This window comes from Homo sapiens, chromosome X, assembly GCF_000001405.40.
Source record: "Homo sapiens chromosome X, GRCh38.p14 Primary Assembly".
In the NCBI taxonomy this organism is placed as follows: Eukaryota; Metazoa; Chordata; class Mammalia; order Primates; family Hominidae; genus Homo; species Homo sapiens.
In genome coordinates this window covers 9,462,225-9,484,191 of record NC_000023.11, presented here as the reverse complement: position 1 = coordinate 9,484,191, position 21,967 = coordinate 9,462,225, and the positions used below count along the sequence as shown (strand labels likewise).

The window sequence follows — 21,967 nt, the reverse complement described above, 5'->3', positions numbered from 1 at the left end:
TCTCTACAAAAAATAAAAAATTAACCGGGTGTGGTGGCATGCGCCTATAGTCCCAACTACTCAGGAGGCTGAGGCAGGAAGATTGCTTGAGCCCAGGAGATTGAGACCAGCCTGGGCAACATAGTGAGACCTTGTCTCTAAAAAATGTATGTAAACAAACAAAGAAATAAAAAAGAAAAAACAGATTAAAACTGCACACTTCATACAAGTCTAGCTTACTGTACTTCAATATACCTCAGTAAAGATACAAAAATAAGGAAAGCAGATGGTGTGAAACAAATATAATAGGACTCCATTCGGATAAAGACCCAAGACTACATATTAGCGTATGGACAGCTGAAAAGTGCTAGAAAACATCTATAATGTTGTACTCTAGACTGAATCCTGGTGATTCTGCCAGAGGGGAAGGAAGGGAGAACTCCACAAATTCACATAGATTCAGTATCACCTGGGTGGGGGTGGGAGGGATGCACTTAGGGGCAGGCAAAAAGACTTCAAAGAGACCCGCATAGGAGTTTGTTCAGAGCACAGATCAGGGCTTGTCGGAGGGTGGAAAGCAGAGGCAGGCAGGCTTCAGGGGGAGGGAGGAAAAAGACCAACCAGGCGAGAAGATGGGAGGAGGGTCAGCTCTTGTTGGGGGGAGTTAGGTAAAGAAGGCAGGCAAATGTGGGCACTGGTTCTTCAGGGAACAGACACGGATGAACGTGACCACCAGATCAAAGCCAAGGGGCGCTCAGGGTTTCTCCATCTACACAGTCATTTCATTGTTCATTTGTAAATGAATACTTCTAAAGGGTTTGAAAGTCACTTTTTTCTTCTAAACTGAGCTCCAAAGTCTTGTTGGTCTTTTTGCTTTAGAAAAAAATCCCTACTTCCATGGAATGTATGAAAACTAAAAGATGCTTGCATTGCTTTCAAAGCCCCATGAGATTTTTATTCCTTCAACTTCCTTACGTCTTCATGGAGGATGTAAATACCTCATTTACAGCTACCACGAGGTGCAAAGCTTCTAAGTCAGGGTTTCTTAATTTCTGCAATGCTGACCTTTTGGGGCTGGATAACTCTCTTGAAAGAGGAGGGGACCTTCCTCTGCACTTCAGGAGGCCAGCCCTGGCCTCTACCTGCTAGATGCCAAGAGCACACCTTCCTCATTTATAACAACCAAAACTGTCCCCTGGGAGCAAAACTGTAACCGCCTGAGGGGTTCTTCCTGCCGGCTGCATAAAGACCATGGGCATTTTAGTAGAGAAAGAGTTTAACAGACACAAGGCCAGCCACACCACATGGGAGATGGAATAACTAAGGGAAATGCAATAATTAAGGGAAATGAATAATTAAGAGAAAGGCAAGATGGGGGGTGGATTAGCTCAGATCTCTTTCACTGTCATCATTCTCTCACTGATATAACTTTTGCAAAGGTGGTTTCAATACCCCCTTTGGCTTTCATACACCTTATTCTTAAGGTGCTGGCTATAGAGATAGAAAAAGGGTGACCATCACTCTGGCTTCTTCCTGCTGACAGGGGGCATAGTTGCAGGGGTTGGTCCCAGGGGAATAGGAGTGAGCTCACCACCGTGCAGCTACCTGCATGTACTCACGGGTGTATGACAAAGATGTTAATGTTCTTACTCACAGTTCTAGTACAACACTTAAGTCAACAGTAGACTATATGTTGTTAGAAAGAGAGACTGGGATAAACAGGAAAGAGTGAATTTAAATATATTGTCCCATATCTTTTTAGTCAGTGTCCAAGTCCTAAGACTAGATCAGTTAAACAGCTGTTTCCCATATCAGGAGGTGGCACTGCAGATGGGCTAAGCTTCTGTAAGAGGCATTTCCATAGACACGGAAAAAAAACAAAGATTAACACTGGGCACAATTTATCCAGACATTAGACTCAAAACATCTTTAGTTATAGACGAGGAAGGTGGTGGCAATCTGACATGTTTTTCTCTCATAATAAGCTTCAGCTTATAGGACCTCAGGAAAGAGGTAGTAGCAATTTTATTGAGGCCAAGTTAGAAATGAAAGAAAAATTTGAAAGCATTAGTTTGGGACTTGTAGTCCAGAAAGAATTCACGATTCAGTCCAAATGACAGAAAATAATAAAAATTCAAAAATAGTGAACAAGACTAGATTCTAACAACAGGTGTTCTATAGTTTTTTTCTGAAACATAATTTCTCTCTCCAGTCCCTATTTTTACTAAAGACAAATCACATTAGGACTAATTTATGTGCAAAATAAGTTTTATTCTTACTATACCTGGCCCGAGTGTTTGCATAAGGTCAGCTAGAACAATTATTTGCCATATATGCTCCTTTTTAAAATTGGCTTTGCTGCAACTTTATTCCCTAAGAAATCTCACATTAGACTTCAAAGCATTTAGCCCAGCCACGGATTTATCTGTGCCTGCAAATACTTGTATTAATTGGGTGAATTCCTCACCTCAAGGGCTCAAGATAACTTGGAGCTCCTGGACCTGTCAGAAAGTGACATTCTTTACTTAGGAACCTGTCCAGGGACTGTGTAGACAAGGTATGAGGCCAGCTTACCCAAGGGGCTTTTATTGGCTCTGTAAGTCAACTTTGATTCCTTAAAGCAATCTGAAAGTATGCCATTCCAATCAAAGCTTTGGTAAAATAACCAGTGTCTCCAATTGTGTCCTGCTACAAAAGAAAACAGATTTGTATTTAACAAACAACTATAACATCATAAATTAAGTATACTTGCAAACAGTTTTCAAATTCTAGAGAAATCAGGTAGAGAGAGAAATGTGCTTCAGATTTTGTTCACAAGAGCATACTTTATCCAATTGTTAAAAGCTATAAATAGCTCAAAAGAAAAAAAAGGTTTTCTGGACTCTGAAAAACAAAAGAATGAGCAATGTTTCAAACGAAAAGCCAGAAAAAGTTTATTTCGGTCTTCCATTACTTCAGTCCATGTAATTAACTCCTGTTCTGCTCGATATCCATGAATACATTAGCTCTTAATGGGAGCCTTGGAAGCTTTTTCGTCTATTTTAATGTCACAATCTCCAAAGTTATCAGAAAACTGTCACAGTCCTATAGCTGATTATAAAACCACCCTGAAAATAACCAAAGTAAAACAATTGTGGATGACAAAAGTTTCAGAACAGCCACAGTTAAGGTCTGATCATCTCTGTGGCATACAATAACTTAACAATCATAATTATTACTGATAACATATACTAAAACATATCAGAATTACAGGAAATCTTATACAATTCTGAAACACATACTAACAACACATTCATACAAATACAGTCCAAAGAAAGCCAAACACTATTGCATACCTGACAATGCTTACTGTTATAGTTTTAATATATCAAATAAGCCAAATATGTCTCTTTTGGACTTTACAGTATTTAATATCTGGAAGGTTAACCAGATTAAAATAAGGGCGGGGGGGGGGGTGGCTTAATTTAGATTTTGACTTTGGAAAGTTTTGTCAAATATCAAATGTTTAGACCCTTGATATTACAAAATAAAATCCCAAGTCACTAGAAGTCATTTATTTAGCCATAATAACTCAAGAATTTTTAAAAGGCAAAAATCTTCACTCACTGATAGAGGGGAAACTCAACTTTCCAAACAGGACAAAATAAAGACAGTATGAGGCTCCTCTCTCCTCGTTTTTCTGTCATTCATTCAAAAGTCAAACAAAAAATATTCAACCTACAGAAAAACTAAATAATCCCCTTCAAGTCTTAGCCAACTTGCTCATACCCACAGAACTTCCTTTACAAGATGAACCCTTTACAAACCTTTTTCAACTTGCTTAAACTTTCAGTTTTGTCCCATTACTCTTTTAAGATGATCCTTAAAATCCTCCGAACCAGACAAAATTATATTCCCTTTTACAAAAACCATATTCCCATGCTTTCTTATAGCCTCCCACAAGACACATTCTACTTTCCCGCCAGGTGCAGTGGCTCACGCCTATAATCCCAGCACTTTGGGAGGCCGAGGCGGGTAGATCACCTGAGGTCAGGAGTTCGAGACCAGCTTGACCAACATGGAGAAACCCTGTCTCTACTAAAAATACAAAATTAGCCGGAGGTGGTGGCGCATGTCCTTAATCTCAGCTACGCCGGGGGGAGGCTGAAGCAGAAGAATCGCTTGAACCCGGGAGGCGGAGGTTGCGGTGAGCCGAGATCATGCCATTGCACTCCAGCCTGGGCAACAAGAGCAAAACTCCATCTCAAACACACACACACACACACACACACACATTCTACTTTCCTTCTACGCCTTGCATGTAAAACTGTTTCTCCAGTAGTCTCAATTATACGTGTTACAATCTTAACTTTCAGCAACTTTTATTTTTGGTGAAAAACCTGGTAAATAAGCAATTTTAACCATGTATAAAACTACAGAACCCATGATTCTTCCCAGCCTAGCCAGGGGAGCCGGCTAACTCCATGTGTCCCCAGACCTTACCTAGAATCTAATGGCTGTAAGACAGACAAGTCAAACAATTATTAAAAGTCACAGAAGCAGTTTATGACCTTAAAACATCCAGCAAAGAGTATCTGACCTGCCTAATTTAGACAAAGTGTGTTAACTTTGAAGACATTTTTATTTTACTTTACAAATAATCTTTAAACTGTCCTTATTTTTGAAAGATCAGAGTCATGTGATGTAAAAGCCATTAAAGTTTCCATTTTTCTGACAATGTTTAAGTGCTTATTTTTCTTTAAGCCAATTTTATTTTATTTTATTTTTGAGACAGAGTCTCACTCAGTTGCCCAGACTGGAGTGCAGTGGCGTGATCTCAGCTCACTGCAACCTCCGCCTCCCAGGTTCAAGCGATTCTCTTGCCTCAGCCTCCTGAGTAGCTGGGATTACAGGCGTGTGCTACCACACCCGGCTAATTTTTGTATTTTTAGTAGAGATGGGGTTTCACCATGTTGGTCAGGCTGGTCTCGAACTCCTGACCTCGCCCTGGCCTCCCAAAGTGCTAGGATTATAGGCATGAGCCACTGCGCCTGGCCTACGCCAATTATTTAGAGCTGTTTTATATAAACACTACATAACAGAGAAGAATACACAGAAAGACAGGAATGAAGAATCAAGACAGAAGTCCATTGACAGAAGCTTTCAGAGGGAGAACAGGGGCTTTAAAACAGTATCTGTACACATATCAGCTTTAATTAAGTCGATTTCTAACTACAGAGCTCTCAAAAGAAAAATCATTTTAAAATCTCTTTTTACCGGATTTCAGCCAGGACATTTCTAGCTTTTGAACCTTTTACTAAAGGGAACTTCCTATGTGCAATCAATAAGCCTTAACTAAGGGGATGGATTAACCATGAACGCAGGAGGTATCTCCAAAGAGTTGGTAAGGAATTTTTAAAAGATCTAGAATCTCCCCAAAGGTAGTTCAGAGAAAAGAAAATTTTAAAAACCTGAAAAGATATCTCAAAAGGCCAATCTTAGGTTCTACAACAGTGATGTTATCTGCGGGAGTAACTGGGAATCTGCGTATTTGACAATCTGGCAATGGTTCATGTCTTTGCCTTAGCAGCAATCAGGCTCCTCTCCTCCCCCATCCTGATGGCCTCCCATTAGTGTTACAGTTTGGGGCAAGTTTTGAGTTTGGGACAAGGCCTATTATCATTTAAACCGTAGCCTAAAAGTCCTCCAAAGTTCACCTGGCCCAATAGCCCAAGAATATTAAGGGAAAGGCAAGATGGGGGATGGGTTAGCTTAACATACTGTTATAATTTTCTCATTGATATAATTTTTGCAAAGGCGGTTTCAAAACTACCTTGGATTGAGGACCATAGAGCAGAGGTAGATCCTGGGAAAACATCCAGATTCCCTCCAAGCCTGAGGTTCACAGGCAGGTGCTTTCAAGATGAAAGACAGGGGAAGCATAAGGGGGTGTGTGCCCTGGGGTCCTGTGCTCAGCTCTCCAGGGACTTAGGCCACCTTTCTACAGGTAGCTCTTTTCCCACCTCCTTAACTATTTCCCACTGTTAACACGCAAACAATGAGCTCCTCCTCTATGCCAGATTCCCAGCTAATTACTTCCTACAGAGTTTCACATTTAGAGCCTGAAACTAGTCCATGGTTATCCTGATTTTACAGATGAGGAAACTGAGGCACGATGCCTGTTATACTACTATACTTGCCGTCTTTCCCCTTTCCCCACCTTCCTCTCCTGGGGATGAAGGGGCGGAAGGCAAAGTCACTAAATCAGGTCTCACCATCCGGGAAGTTCGACCAAGCACAGAGATACTCATTCTTGGAAGCACAACTCTAAAATATCCACAAAAGGGGAATCTATAGAGACACGAAGGATATTCATGGTGGCCCGTGGCTGGAGGTGGGAGCAGAAATGGGTGAGAACCGAGTAGGAGCGATCTTATTGGGAATTGAAAATGTTCTAAAACTGCATCATGGTGATCTCTACACAACCCAGTAAATTTACCAAAAATCCCTGAATGGTACACCTCAAAGAGGTGACTTTTGTGGCATGTCATTTATACCTCAATAACAATGTTTAAGAAAACTGACTTAATTTTAAGTCAGACTCAAGAGTTCTAAGTTAAATGACATATCTCTTAAAGCTGACGTCTTGGCAAGCCAAGGGCAAACATTTATGGCAAAGCCAAATGGAACAAAGTAATAGAGCTTGCAAAGGGGATGAGTGCCCAACCTGAATACACAATGTATCTAAGTCAACTCCAAGAGATAGAGAAAGCCAAACACCAGTAACTGCCCAACTCAGTGGTGTGGACAGAAAGAATTTCCACTCCAATGAACATCTGGGCCACCAGAAACCCATACAGAAAAATATATTTGTTGTCCAAATATAGAACACTGAATGGAAAAGCAAACAAAACAGGAAATTAGAGAAGGTTGAACATTTACTCTTAGATAGCAAACTACGAATCCAGCCCAAACTTCTCTCACAGCAAACGCCATGCAGAAAAATGGGATTAATGATCCCTGGGCTTGGTCCTCTGTTGTGCCAGACACATATTAGAAAGGAAAGAAAATTCAAAAAGGACAACTTACTCTGTGTTTTTATTATGCTTAAAGATGAACTGGGAAATAATGAAAGCATACAATATCTTGTTTCAACTAACTTTTCTAAAACCATGTCCAGGATATTCAAAAAATTACAAAACGTAACTAGAAACTAACTACTGGGTGGATATGAGCAGTACTGACTGAGATAAAAATGCAATGTTTCCATGAGCTAATCTTATTCTATATTTAGTTTGAGTACACTAATATAATTAACTAAGGTTATATAATTTTGCTAACTTCAAATTTTCACTTATAAAGCTTCACATACAATTATCTGAACTAAAATTGATTTGATTTTTATTTTTGTAGAAAGATGAAAATGGTTAATTTTAATAATCCTGTCTTCCTAATAAGTTACTGTCTTCATTGATATAAATTATGTAGATGGTGCTTCAACAATGCTCTAAAGTTTGTTTTCATAATCTCTTTCAAGGTTAGTGTACTCACAGATTCCACGTCCCAGGGGCTTTTACCATTTGGCCTTCCCATTCCCCTACATACCTCTGTGCCTCAAACTCCCAGAAACTAAACCTAGACAGCTGCCCCTTGAAAGCACAGGAAGTGTGCGCTTAAGAAATAAAGTCAATTCTGGTACAGGCTTCAGAGGTCAGCCGACTTAGGGTCATTCTCTGAGATACACTTCTGAAAGATTATATAGGGTGATTTGGATGGCAAATAAGCAAATGATTAATTAAGAGTGTCATCACTCAACAACAAAGACAGGAGAGGATTCCAGTTCACAGCTGAAGCAATTCAGTGGTTCCAATATGAAGTCAAGACCAGTCTAAGGCTTAAAGCAAAATATATTGTGCCATCTCTTTCCTCTTAAAGGGGTTGGGCTGTGGAGTCAGATAAGGTATATTCCCAAATATACTCTGCATCTGCTTTATGGTTCATTACAACTAAATTTCTTACTGGGGCCTAAATGCATTGGTCTCTGGAGAGGGGAGATAGGTGCATCAATCTAGATAGTAAAAAATTCTACTTCCTGTTTCTCCTCTCTTCACAGTGAGTGCCTTCTGAGTATTACCATAAAGAGAAGCAACAGGTTTTTTAAAAAGTAGACACAAATATTTCAGCTTATCAAAGGACAAATGGAGGTCTACATAGATTCTGATGAGCATTAATCATGGTCGGCATTAGGCATCCTGCTGGTACACGGAAATCTACAAGTACTGCTCCTGGCAGGCTTTCTAATGCACTGCGCAAGTGTATGAGCATCATTTCATATAACAAAGTTATGTTGCGAATTCAATATTCACAAAGAAGAAAACAGATGCAAACACCAAAAATTACACACAAAAACTAAAGCTGACATATCAATTCTCTCAAGTTAAACAAACTAAAAACTGGTCTGGAAACCCAGAACCACTTGAGGTTGGCATTTCATCTCATGAAAACCAAACCTTCAGCCATTCTAAGCAAATGAGCTCAGCCAGAAGACCTTAAATTTAGAGATGATTCCTATTTCTCACCTCCACAGCCCACAATGTGGTCTGAGTTGTGAATATAATTTTTATGTTTATTCACTCTGTAACACCAGTAGTGTAGCAGCAACTCAGAAAAAAAAAAAAAACCTAATGAGGCCAGGCGTGGTGGTTCACGCCTGTAATTCCAGCACTTTGGGAGGCCGAGGCAGGCAGATCACTTGAGGTCAGGAGTTCGAAACCAGCCTGGCCAACATGGTGAAACCACATCTCTACTAAAAATAAAACAATTAGCCAGGCGTGGTGGTGGTGGGCACCTGTAATCCCAGCTACTCGGGATGCTGAGGCAGGAGAATTGCTTAAACTTGGGAGGCAGACGTTGCAGTGAGCTGAGCACTCCAGCCTGGGCGACAGAGCCAGACTCCATCTCAAAAAAACAAACAAACAAACAAAAAACACCAATGAGAAATGCAAAAAAACAAAACACTTAATAACCATGATAGATGAAATATGTCTCAAAAACAAAAACAGCAGGTCACAGTGGCTCACGCCGGTAATCCCACCACTTTGGGAGACCAAGGTGGGCGGATCACCTGAGGTCAGGAGTTCGAGACCAGCCTGGCCAACATGGCAAAACCCCGTCTCTACTAAAAATACAAAAATTAGCCGGGTGCAGTGGCAGGCGCCTGTAATCCCAGCAACTCGGGAGGCTGAGGCAGGAGAATTGCTTGAACCCAGGAGGCGGAGGTTGCAGTGAGCTGAGATCACGCCACTACACTCTAGCCTAGGCGACAGAGTGAGACTCTGCCTCAAAAAACAAACAAACAAATAACCAGATTTAAAGATTTAAAGCACCCTAGGACTTTTATCACAACTCAATTCCAGTACAATCTCACGTTGATGTCTTTGAAATTCTGAACCATTTCTGCAGCAAAACGCCTAATTCTCCAGAGCCCTGAGGGCATCCGTCAATGAAATCAGCTGATTTATAAACAGAATTCAGTGATTATGAAAACAATGCAGTCATAAAACGCTTAAAAAGCATAGCATTGTTCCAAGGTTTCCTTGTGGACCTGCAAACAGGTACTGTCATCTAGTTCCGAAACAAGCGCATTTTTTCAGCTTTAAAAACAACACGCAAAATACAATAGATCCAGTATGTGCATGGTTCCCTGTTATTGCATATTCTTTCTTCCCTAAGTCAAATCACTAATACCTGTACCTCTGGAACGATGTCCAGTCCTTAAGCTGGTGGATCTCAAAGTTACTTAACGCACATACATGTGCGTGCAAACGCACACATACCTTAGTAGCTGAAGTCAGAGGAAAGGGGAGTACAACTGTGTCCTACCTGCAGGCAGGGACGTTGGTATCACCCCCTCTTCCAGCCTTTGGGGACCTACATCATAAATGTTTCTTTCATCATATATCCTTTTCAGCAAAAAAGTTTTCAGAAGGTGCTCCTAACTCATGTAATTTATTAAATATATAAAATACTCAAGTAACATGCATTTCATGGACAAGAAATATATTTTTTACAAGTATTAGAGATTTTCTTAATGGACATTTTCATAATTTCTTCCTGCATCCCAATAAATCTTGCTGTGCACCTGCCAGAGGGCATGAAACTCACTAAGACCCTTTTGGGAATTAAAATCTGAAACAAGTCATTTCTGTCCCCTGTCCTTCCCCCAAATTTAGAGACTACTGGCTTAAAGGAATTACACTCAGAGTCCCATAAAATTTAACAGAGCATCCCGTGACATGTAATATCAACAAGTATCTCTCCTTGCTCTCATCTGGTCTACAATAATTTCTGTCATGTACTGGACAGGGAAGATTATTCATTCTTATTTTCACGAACTTATGAGCTGAGTGCATCTCAAAGGTTAGGCTTTTTGAAGTATCCTAAGACAGATCCCTGGAAATGGCTGAAGTTGACATAGAACCACTGTGTCTTGAAAATGCAAGCTGAATCTGGTATTTTCTTCATAATCAAATTGGGAATTAAACCAAACCCCCTTCAAAGGTGGGGGACAGAACTGTCCCAAATGAGAACCATTAGTTGGCTGCAACATTCCAGAGCTCAACGTTGAAAACACTGTTCCAATAAGAAAGCATCTTTTCTACCTTCATTTCTAAAGCTTCCCTTTCTCCTGAACCCACCGCCTATCATGCCCCATCTCAATCTCTCTGATCCCATCGGACAAGAACAAACCTAGACAAGAAAAGGAAACAGTACCCGACTTCCTCTGAACAGGTCCTCCAGACTCTCCTGCTACTGTCAGAAGTTGGCAATTGCTGTTTTCAAGTTTATAATTTTGAATTCTTGAGTTTTTATCAACATGGAGCTGGCATTACAGTTGTGTACGATTCAAATGCTTGATAAGATTCTGTTGAAAAAAGAACTGAAGGCAAGGACACAAGTTTATTCTGTTCCCCAAATGAACCAAATGGCAGGGACGTCAATTTCCTATTCAGGGATATCAATTCTCTACGCTTTCGGGAAATACAATCTGAAACTGTGAAGCCACCTGGACTTTTATAGCACCTGGGAATTACCTTTGCACATTGGCACTACCGATTTTTACATGGCAGACTTTGGCGACAGTTCTCCACTCAACTTCATTTCTCATCTTCACATAGATGACAAGGTAACAGTGACAACTAAAGGAGCACAAGCATCCAGGCTGACAATTACCCAATTACCCACAGTGCACCAGAAACTGAAATCACGACTCAGTCCTGCTGAATTTTCCTCCAGTTCTTAAAATTATTGTTTTTTTTTTTGAGACGGAGTCTTGCTCTGTCACCCAGGCTGGAGTGCAGTGGCGCAATCTTGGCTCACTGCAAGCTCCACCTCCATGGTTCACGCCATTCTCCTGTCTCAGCCTCCCAAGGAGCTGGGACTATAGGCGCCCACCACCATGCCTGGCTAATTTTTTGTATTTTTAGTAGAGACGGGGTTTCACCGTGTTAGCTAGAATGGTCTCGATCTCCTGACCTCGTGATCTGCCCCCCTCAGCCTCCCAAAGTGCTGGGGGGCATGAGCCACCACACCTGGCCTCTTAAAATTATTTTATATGGTCTTGCCATATTAAAGTATATGTTGGCCAGGAACAGTAGCTCACAACTGTAATCGCAGCACTTTGGGAGGCCGATGCAGGAAGATTGCTTGAGTCCAGGTGCTCAAGACCAGCCTAGGCAACACAGCAAGACCCAATCTCTAGAAAAAAATTGAAAATTAAAAAAAAAAAAAAAAAGAAAGAAAAAAAAAAAGCTGGACATGCTGACTTGTGCCTGTCGGCCCAGCTACTTGGGAGGCTGAGGCAGAAGGATCACTTGAGCCCAGAAAGCCAAGGCTGCAGTGAGCTATGATCAGGGCAACAGAGCAAGACCCCATCTCTAAAAATACATAAATAAAGTATTTGTTATTATTGATTTAAGGAATAAAATGGCACCATGTACAATAAGCTTCTTTTTGTCCAAATTCCCTTCTATCAGGAAATTCAGACAAGCAAAAATGCTCGCAGCACTGAACAATACTGCACATTCACATGGACTCTAAATCCTAACAACAGGCAGGTCCCTAATTGGAAAGAGTCAAGCCTAAAGGGGACACATGCCCTTCTCTTCTTGCTCCGACATGATGGTGCTGGGGATGCAGTTTCAACAGACCCGAAGGAAGGTTTCAGCGTCTTGGAGAGCTGGCCGGGAAGGTTACCGGGCAGGAGAGAGCCTCACCTCCTCCCTACTCCCATATTCTAGCCTGGGCAGGTGTTCCAGAAAGGAAAGAGCCCTGTGCAGGCTATCTGGGGTCATAATCGGTTCCAGGCTCAAGGGAAACAGGCAGAAAAAACTCTCATGTTTTCTTTAAAGCATTCCGGCTACATCCACCACGATAGGAAAAATGACAAGAATTCAAGGCAGACACCCAGGTCAAGAATAAACACTGTGAGTTTTGCCGTGAGCATTGTTTGTGCTTCTTTCACAGGGTCTCCTGGGGCTGGAGAACTGCCGCACTCCCCGGAATCACTCAGAGGCGCCCAGCAGCACAAAGCGCCTTCTGACTCGCTGTGGGTTTCTGAACTAAAATGCGCAACTAACTTATCAATGTTTACCAAAATATCGCTTATTTTAATCATGGGAAAACTGATACTCTAGGCACCGGACATAAACAACTGTCACTTGATCCCAATGTTTAGTTAACATAAAACCGTCATCCTTAACCAGTCTGAAAAAAACATGGCCTCCCAGACCTTGAAGCAGGGTCCATCTTCCAAACCAAATCTTCACACCTGGGAGGGAGGAAAAGGCTTGAGGCCACTCATCCAGCCCTTTAACTCTACACGGTAGGACATGCACAGGTTCTGTGACTTCACACAACCAGGTAGACCACCTCAGGCAGGACAAAAGTCACCAAAATGCCAGGACAAGGATTATATTAGAAAACATGCCACGTCATGAGATCACAGAAAGCGACATATGGCCCAGAGTAAAACACAGGTTAGCAGCTCCATAGAAACACAGATGTAGGAATTCATTTTTTTATTTCTACAACAAAGGCAAAAACAACTTGATATTTTTAGCCTATTTTATATTTACGTGATTAACCCATTGGGAAAACGGCAAAGGTCCTTAATGAACATGTATCCTGTTTTTAAACTAAAGCCATGACTATAACCTTCTGATACATTTCACATATGAAGTACCTTTTGGTAGGACTGTGCAATAAAGGTGAGGGTAACATCCTCTAAAAGGACATCAGAGGTCGGGCATGGTTGCTCACACCTGTAATTCCAGTAGTTTGGGAGGCCGAGGCGAGTGGATCATCTGAAGTCAGGAGTTCGAGACCAGCCTGACCAACATGGTGAAATGCCATCTCTACTAAAAATACAAAATTAGCCGGGCATGGTGGTGCATGCCTGTAATCCCAGCTACTCGGGAGGCTGAGGCAGGAGAATTGCTTGATCCCGGGAAGCGGAGGTTGCAGTGAGGAGAGATCATGCCACTGCACTCCAACCTGGGAAACACCAATGAAATTCTGTCTCAAAAAAACAAAAACAAAAACACGACATTAGAAAATGTCCCATCTGAAACAATGAGGCATCAAGAACTAACTGGCATAGAACAAAGAGGAAATAAATAGGCCGAGCGTGCTGGCTTACGCCTGTAATCCCAGCACTTTGGGAGGCTAAGCAGGTGGATCACCTGAGGTCAGGAGTTTGAGACCAGCTTGACCAACATGGTGAAACCCATCTCTACTAAAAATACAAAAAAATTAGCCAGGTGTGGTGGCACATGCCTCTAGTCCCAGCTTCTCCGGAGGCTGAGGAGGAGAATCGCTTGAACTTGCGGGCGGAGATCGCGCCACCGCACTCTACCCTGGGCGACATAGTGAGACTCCGTCTCAAAATAAAAGAAAAAAGAGCAAATAACTAAAAGAGTATAATTGGATTGTTTGTAACACAAAGAATAAGTGCTTGAGGGAATGGATACCCCCATTCTCCATGATGTGATTATACACTGCACGACTATATCAAAATATCTAATGCACCCCATAAATATATACACCTACGTATCCAGAAAAATTTTTAAAAAATTTTAAAAAGGAGCAAAGCTTTAGCAGCCTCAACAACACACCTGATGTTTTTCCACTGTGGTTTCTTACATTAAGGAGCAAAGCTGTTTTTTCCTTGCTTGTGATAACATCTACAGTGCAAAATGTGCTGTTCTAAGAAAAGCGGTTGGCCAAAGCACACAAAGGCATGAAGTTCATGTGTCATCAGAGAGAGGAGGCAAAGGTGGTACTGGAAGAGCGGATGGATTCACCTAAGGCATTCCACCATGTGTTACATTCAGATGGGATCCCCAAGACTTCCAGAGCAGAGCAGATGGCTGGGTGCCCCAGATTCGGGGCTGGGGGGGGTGACTGTGGAGGAACTGTGGGAGACAGAGCCATGAACATCTCTGGGCTGAGGAGATTGTTCTCTCTCCTGATGATGATGGTGGTCACACCAATCTATGCATGTGTCAAGACTCATAATGCACCCAAAGAGACAAACTTACCATATGGTAATTTAAATAATAAAATTATATAGATACAGCCCTAAAATGTAAGAGGGAAAAGATAAGGAAAAAAACAAAGCAAACTACTAGACACCATCGTGACTGATGGTGATACCTTTCCAGACCCAATTCCCAACTTCAGAAAACAGGAAACTATAAGCATGTTAGGCTAGCCGGGCGCGATGGCTCATGCCCATAAGCCCAGCACTTTGGGAGGCCGAGGCGGGAGGGTCGCCTGAGGTCAGAAGTTCGAGCCCAGCCTGGCCAACATGGTGAAACCCCACCTCTACTAAAAATACAAAAATCAGCCGGGTGTGGTGGAGCATGCCTGTAATCCCAGCTACTCAGGAGGCCGAGGCAGGAGAATCGCTTGAACCCGGGAGGCAGAGTGAGCCGAGATCGCACCACTGCACTCCAGCCTGGGCTGTGAGAGAGACTTCGTCTCAGAAAAAACAAACAAACAAACAAAAAAGGCATGTTAGGCTCCAAGCATTATAATAATTCTATGTCGGTCGACTGAGTAAAGTGGCTCACACCTGTAATCTCAACACTTGGGGAGGTCAAGGAGGAAGGATCACTGGAGCCCAGGAGTTTGAGAGCAGCCTGGGCAACACAGTGAGAGCCTGTGTCTACTAAAAATAAAAATAAAAAAATTGCCAGGTATGGTAGTGCGCATTTGGTACTCCCAGCTACTTAGGAGGCTGAGGCAGGAGAATTGCTTAAGCCCAGAAGGTTGAGGCTGCAGCTAGCTATAATAATTGCACTGTCTCAAAATAAACAAATAAATAAAAACTAAATGAGAAATATAATAACTCTATCTCCTTTAATACAAGGAGCCTGGGAAATCTCTCTCTCCCTCTACCCGACCCCTATATATATAATTACATATATATATATATACTCCTACCCACCTCCTCTCTCAATGAGAAAATTAATGTTAGAGAAGTTCACTGATTTGCCCAAAGCTCCAGTCAGTGCACGGCAAGCTAGCTGCAAACCAGGTTTCCCTCATAGCTGTCCCCAGCGCCCAAGTTCAGCGGGAGCCCAGATTCCCCATGACCAGGCAGGGCTTGGGGCACCTCTGGGGCTCACTTGGACGTGGGGGCCAAGGTCCCGCAGCAGGACCACACTCTGGGAGCCCTTTTCCTACTGACACTTGGAAGAGGGCCTCCACGAGGAAAATGCAGGTCCACACCCAGCTGGCTCAACCTGTTTGCTAATTTAACAGTTGCAGGAAGGGAAATGTCTCCAGACATTGGCAAATGCTCCCTTCAAAAGTGGGGGACAAAACTGTCCCAAATGAGAACCATTAGTTGGCTGCAACATTCCAGAGCTCAACGTTGAAAATACTGTTCCAATAAGCAAGCATCTTTTCTACCTTCATTTCTAAAGCTTCCCTTTCTCCTGAACCCGCCGCCTATCATGCCCCATCTCAAATCTCTCTGATCCCATCGGACAAGAACAAACCTAGACAAGAAAAGGAAGCAGTACCCGACTTCCTCTGAAAACTCAACATATTCTCTCTTCCATCTTAACTTTAAATTTGTTCCAATTCCATTTGTAACGGTTTCCAATTCACTTCTGCAACCTTCAGGCATGCGGTGGATTCTCCCTAAATACTGGATGGCGATGGCTGTGTGGGAGGGGGCCAGCTTGGGAGGCGCAGGCATCTGAAGTCAGGCTCCCGCTGGCCAGGCAGGCAGCAGCCCGGCGGACTCCTTAACGGCTGTCTTTCTCCCCTGGAGATCTGAAACGTCTCTCCTCAGCCTAGGCTCTTTGCCCTTTAGAAACATGTGGACTTCTTCGGCCCCTTCCCATATCCAGCTTTTCTTTTGGTTCTGGTGGGTTTCATGTTTGCCAGTCTGGCCAGCATGGTCCATGTGGTCGAGCCCCACAGAAAGTGAGGGCGGGAGTGGAGGGGGCAAGACCGGAGGTAAAAACTCGAGTCCAGTCTCCGGCTAACTAAAAATAGTTATGGGGGAAAAAAGTTTATCTTTCCAACTAAAAAAAAAAAAGTGTTTACAATATGCCTTTAGTGTTGCTTCCTGGGTGGAACTGATTTTTCAATGCATGTGGTAGTGAAAGATTAACAACTTCTCGGATGTAGCATATTAGGTTTTTTTGCTTTTCCTAAGGGAGGAAAAAAAGCAAATCCAAGGCATCAGGAAAGCAGTGGGAGGATGGTCCTGCCTCGCTGGGCAGAGAAGCTGTGCTGATCAGCTAAGCCAGGAGGCCCACAGGGCACTGCTGCGGGGCAGAGCACCGGAATCTGGACGCCCTGCAGAAAACTGGGAGGGGGCCGGACCCAGGTTCTAGCGGAGGTGTGCTCCTATCCAGCAGGAGTAGATCGGATAATCTGAATTCCTGACCCTCGGGACCTGCTGGAGATGGCCTCCCTCTGCAGGGACCATTTTCCCGCCTCTGTTCGTCACCTTAAAAGGTGAAAAAAAATCTTCTAACTAAGATGATGTTGTACAGAACCAGTGGTACTGATATAATTGATGGGAAAACTCCAGAAATTGAAACATTCACTTCTAAGTATGTCTACAATAAAGTTATTTTTGCAAACTGTTTCCTCTTTAAAACCACTGACAGAGAGAAGTTCTCTGAGGTAAAGGGGCAAAATGCCTGAGAGTTGGGGAGCGAGGGTGGCAGCACTACACCACAAATCTCCATATTTGCCCTACAGGTGTGTGTTCTACTAAGGGCTGGAATCGCCTTAAGGGCCGGTGATCCAGTGATGAACAACTTTTGTTGTTTGCATTAGTTACCCAGCTTGGTGGCTTTCCACAAAAATGTGCAGCACATTTGAGACAGGACTACCCTTTAAAATAAACGCGTCATACTCAACGTTCTTCTGTATTTTATTTTTCCTAATTACATCTTTTCTAGGAAGGACTTGTAAACTTTTCATAAAATCGTCAAGTGCCACTTCCAACACCAAAGCCACTGCCTGGAACCTTAGCAGGGAGGTTGCCTTCCTTCCCCCTCGCCTTCCAGGTTAAACCAGGGACTGGGCGATGTTTCAGGAGAGGAAAACATCCAAAAGGCAGGTCAAACCACACATGACAATGCAAAGCAGAAACAGTTGCAAATACAATAGAGGGTAGGTTTTTGTTTCTTTTTAGGTTTTGCTCCAGAACATCACTGACTCGAGAATAAACGTCAGTCCCTACCTTTGTGGAACGTCCAACGCAGCTGGCTGGGGGAACACGAGGCCTTGCAGGGAGCGAGCCCCGGCCCCGGTCTGACGGAACACAGGCGACGCACGTGAAGTCCAGGCCCTATCCCAGCGCAGGCGGGCCTCCAGCGACCCACAGTTGTCACATATCCGGCCAGCGCCGACTCCCGAAGGCGCACTCCCCATACTCCACTCCGAGCACCGGTCCCATCGTTAGGGAAGGTCCCCCTGGATAGCAAGGCCGGGGCCCAGGATCTGCGAGACCCACCCCACCCGCCCCGTCAGAGCCCAGGAGCAGCAACAGGTCTGCGCTCTCCCCGGGCGGCGCTCTGCAGACCCTCGACGGGCCAAGGGTGCCCCCAGCCCAGCCGTGCGCTCAGGCCGGGGAGATGGGCGGAGGACTGGGGCTCCCGACTTCCTTGACAGTTTCTGCGCGTCAGAAACTGAGCAGACACGGGGCCCGCGCCACCTCGCCCGCCGCTTGCCCCACTCCGCGAGGCTGCGCTTCCACCCGGGTCCGGGAGGGCCGGCCCGCGTCCCGGGTATGAATGGGGCTCTTCTCCCCAACAGCGGGGAAATCCCGCCACCGCCCTCCACCCCGGTCCCCGGAGCCCGCGGTGGCGCAGGTTTGCCCAGCAAGCCCCTGAATCGGCAGACAAAGGGGCACCGGAGGAAAAGCCGAGCGCTTCCCTAAACTTACCGGCCACTTCCCCCTCCCCAAAACAAAGGAGCCCCCCGCCGACCTCCGTCTCTCCCCGCAAGGCGCGCCGGCACTTCGGGGAGCGGCCACCTCGGGGTATTGTTCAGGCTCCTGGGAGCGCGCCGCACCCCAGTCCGAGCGCCGCGGGGACAGTTGGCGACCTGCACCTACAGGAGTTCCAGGGGCGGGTGGAGCGTTCGGGCGCCCCGAGCCGCCGGCCGGACCCTGGAGGGTCAGCGCGGGACCCGCCTCCCCGCAGAAGTTTGCGGACCCCGCGCCCGGCCCGCCGAGCCCTGCGCACTCACCTCGTCGCGAGCAGCGCAACTTGTGGCGGCGCCGCGCGCCCGGCCGCGCTCCGAACCTCCCTCCAGCCGGCAGCCTCCGAGTCCCGGCCGTGCGGCGGCCGAAGAGGGCCCGGCGCCCCGGAGCAGCCGCGCGCCGCCCCCGGGCCGCCCCCGCCCCGCCGCCGCCGAGTCCCGGAGAGAGCGCGGGCGCTGGAAAGTTTCGGTGGCGAATGGCGGCCTGAGGGCGCTGCGGCGGCGGCGGGGCGGGGGCGCTGGCGGCTCCTCGCTCCCAAGCGCGGAGTGGGGGCGCTGAGGCGGGCGCGGCGGCGGCGGCGGCGGCAGCGGGAGAGGGCGGGACAGCGGGAGGGACTGGCACGGACAGTGACCTCCACGGGGAGCTGCCGCGAGCGCGCGGACCCCAGCCAGGAGGACCGCCAGGGGTCCGCCCCCGCCGCCGGCCCCTCCCTCACGGCCGTGGGAGGGGACCCGGCGTACCACCCGGCCCCGCCCCTGCGCCCCGGGGGAGCCGCGTCCCGAACCAGCCCCTCCCCTACGAGGGTAGGGACTCCGGCCCTGCCCCTCCCCCGCGGCTCCTAGTGGGGACCCGCGTCCCAACCCAGCCCCTGTCCCACGGTCGGGGGACCAGCGTCCCTACCAAGCCCGCCCCGCTCCCCCACGCCTAGGGTGGGTGAGGGGAACCCGGGCCTCTCCCTAGTTGCTCTGGTCCCGGTCCCTTCCCCGTGGCCTCCGTGGGACTGAGAGGACCCCAGGGCTACCCCCATCACATCCCAAACCCAGCCTTTCCACGACTGCCTCGAGGGGACGGGAACCTCGGCCACCCCCTCAGTTTCTAGGGGGCAGGGGAACCTCGATCACTGCTAAAGTGTTACCCTCCCCCACCCCAAAAAGGAAGCCACCCGGCTGCCCCAACAGAACCCCCTGCCACCTGCCCGATGGTGAATCTCCCTCAAAATCGGCGTCTTAGAAGACACCCCAGTAGTCTTTACCCCAGCTCAAAAAGTGGGGGTTCCGGCGGAGCCTCGACCTTTGCAAAACACCTCCCAAGAAGAGCCAGAAATGCTTAGGGACAAACTCAGACACACAGGCATAGGCGCCAGGAACTCGGGTGTGGGGGCTGAGGAGGTTGGGGGGACCTGGGCACTCGGGCCTCATCACTCCCACCCCAACCCCCCAGGCATCAGCCCTCTGGCCCTTGCAAAGTGCTTTATGTTGCAATGGCTTACACGGCCTGGCCCCGGTGTACCTAAGTCCCCAGCGCTCCTTCCTCCCCTCCACGTAGGCTACTCCCAACCACTCGCAGCCTTAATTCAGTTAAACAGATCTCCACTCCCCCTCCCCAGCACCTCTGGGGTCAGCCTCGTTGAATATTTTTCAAATATTCTTGCCCCTTCCTTTACTATATAATGAGCTTCGTGCTAAGAGCCCGGTACACTCAGCAATCTAAACTATAACCTCACTTGCTCTTCCTCGAACTCTAGACCATTTGTTGTTCTGGTTGTAGGGGGAGGGGGACCTAAGGTGAGGTTTTTGTTTTTTTGTTTTTGTTTTTGTTTTTCTGAGGAGTCTCGCTCTGTCGCCCAAGCTGGAGTGCAGTGGCGCGCTGTCGGCTCATTGCAACCTCCACCACCCTGGTTCAAGCAATTCCCCTGCCTCAGCCTCCCGAGTAGCTGGGATTACAGGCGCATGCCACCACGCCCAGCTAATTTTTTTTGTATTTTTAGTAGAGACGGGGTTTCACCATATTGGCCAGACTGGTCTGAACTCCTGACCTCAGGCAATCCGCCGGCCTCGGCCTCCCAAAGTGCTGGGATTACAGGCGTGAGCCACCGTGCCCGGCCGGAGGTGAGTTTTTAAGAGGCCGGTCCTCCACCAAAACGGCGGACCTCAAAATTACCCTGCAAAATATTGCTGTAAAACGTCAATGATGCAAAACGACTGTTGCTACACCATCATTAGAGGACATCAATAAAAAAATACACACTTACACAGTCTCCATAATTGTGAATCAGCAGAATAGATTGTGTCTTATTATGTATCAGTTGCCATTCAAGGCCCCCCAGAAGGACATGGTGGGGCCTTCCCTTGAGCCTGCCCTTCGTTGCTCCTGGGCTCCCTGGGCTTGTGCAGACTGATGCTGAGGTATTACATGCAATAGAAAAACGAAGGGTGCAATAGAAAACCCGAACGAGCTCATGATGCAACCCTGCCCTGGCTACACGTGCTTCCCTTCCCCCACCGCCTGCTGGTGGGAGTGCTGCGTTTTTTCCGCCTGTAGGGTCACATTGTGGTTGATTGATTCTCCTTTCGCCTTGCTCAGTCATTCAGATTTGGAAAGTAAATAACAAGTTGACATCATTACAGCTCTGGGCTTTACGCGGACGCAGCCCTCGGCTACCGCACACTCTGGAGTAGCTGCGCAGCCAACCAGCCTCCTAGCTTGCCAGACCTGCTTGTGGTTAGCAGTTGGAAATTCCAAGCTAAACTTGGTTAAAAGGCCTCTTTGTGTGTTTTGATTACTTGGCAGATGCCAGTCTTTTAAAGTATGGGAAAGTGGTGGAAATCCTCACTTTCAAACTGGAGCCCAGTGTGGCCAGGATTTACAGCTGAGCTCCTGTAATTGACAATGCAAAAGAGCTGAGAATTCATCTTGACTGTTTGACAATATCCCCATAATCCCACCACCCTTATTACCCGTAAAGAGTCAATATCTTTTATCATAGACTCACAGGACCCCAAAGGACACTGTAAGACCTAAGACAGGAAGAGAGACCGCCTACATTTATCGTGAAATCACCAAAATTCCTCTTTTTGAAATACTAGATGGACTGTAGGTGGGTGATAATTAGACTGTGTTATTTAATCTGTTTCAACGATTTTTCAAATGTGCAGTCCTATAAGGTGGGAGAAAACAAGGAAATAAAGTAGAGCGGCAAGGAGGTAGTGTATTCTGAGAAAGCTAAAGGATAACAGGGCGAGGGGTCCACAGTGATTTACACAGAAACCCACTGCACTAGCCATGTGCGTGTGTGCGCGTGTGTGTGTTGCAAACACTTATTTTCAGTTATTGACTGGAGGGAGGGGAAAACAAGAATCTGCTTGCAACAAATACTACCAGCATTCCCCATAAACAGTACCCAAAATTTTAATTAAAAGGCAGTAGGAATTCACACAAATATACTTAACTAATCTTTCACAAAGGAGCAAAGGCAATTCATCCTTTTTA

General features: G+C 46.0%; 1 protein-coding gene across 4 annotated transcripts in view, besides 7 other annotated features; it reads right to left on the bottom strand.

Moving 5' to 3' along the window:
• TBL1X (transducin beta like 1 X-linked) overlaps positions 1-20,897 on the bottom strand; it is a 256,446-nt gene extending 235,549 nt beyond the window's left edge. For 3 of the 4 annotated variants that reach the window (NM_001139468.1, NM_001139466.1, NM_001139467.1), the window contains exon 1: positions 20,730-20,897. The gene's annotated coding sequence lies outside the window, so the exon portion shown is untranslated. Of the gene's footprint in view, positions 1-18,744; positions 19,135-20,729 lie in introns of those variants that run through there. The other variant, NM_005647.4, reaches the window with a different exon arrangement.
• Positions 18,159-18,308: a silencer, noted in NCBI's record as "silent region_20652". NCBI's record gives its function as "represses an Ori minimal core promoter by ATAC-STARR-seq in GM12878 lymphoblastoid cells {active_cell/tissue: GM12878}" and the evidence as "EXISTENCE:reporter gene assay evidence [ECO:0000049][PMID:35858748]".
• Positions 18,609-18,748: a silencer, noted in NCBI's record as "silent region_20651". NCBI's record gives its function as "represses an Ori minimal core promoter by ATAC-STARR-seq in GM12878 lymphoblastoid cells {active_cell/tissue: GM12878}" and the evidence as "EXISTENCE:reporter gene assay evidence [ECO:0000049][PMID:35858748]".
• Positions 18,869-19,448: a silencer, noted in NCBI's record as "silent region_20650". NCBI's record gives its function as "represses an Ori minimal core promoter by ATAC-STARR-seq in GM12878 lymphoblastoid cells {active_cell/tissue: GM12878}" and the evidence as "EXISTENCE:reporter gene assay evidence [ECO:0000049][PMID:35858748]".
• Positions 19,679-19,878: an enhancer, noted in NCBI's record as "active region_29401". NCBI's record gives its function as "activates an Ori minimal core promoter by ATAC-STARR-seq in GM12878 lymphoblastoid cells {active_cell/tissue: GM12878}" and the evidence as "EXISTENCE:reporter gene assay evidence [ECO:0000049][PMID:35858748]".
• Positions 19,679-20,534: a biological region, named in NCBI's record as "H3K27ac-H3K4me1 hESC enhancer GRCh37_chrX:9431698-9432526".
• Positions 19,706-20,534: an enhancer, noted in NCBI's record as "H3K27ac-H3K4me1 hESC enhancer chrX:9431698-9432526 (GRCh37/hg19 assembly coordinates)". NCBI's record gives its function as "activates a minimal SCP1, AML or CMV promoter by ChIP-STARR-seq in primed H9 embryonic stem cells {active_cell/tissue: H9 hESC(primed)}" and the evidence as "EXISTENCE:reporter gene assay evidence [ECO:0000049][PMID:30033119]".
• Positions 20,909-21,203: an enhancer, noted in NCBI's record as "tiled region #7028; HepG2 Activating DNase unmatched - State 5:Enh, and K562 Activating DNase unmatched - State 5:Enh". NCBI's record gives its function as "activates a minimal TATA promoter and a strong SV40 promoter by Sharpr-MPRA in HepG2 and K562 cells {active_cell/tissue: HepG2 | K562}" and the evidence as "EXISTENCE:reporter gene assay evidence [ECO:0000049][PMID:27701403]".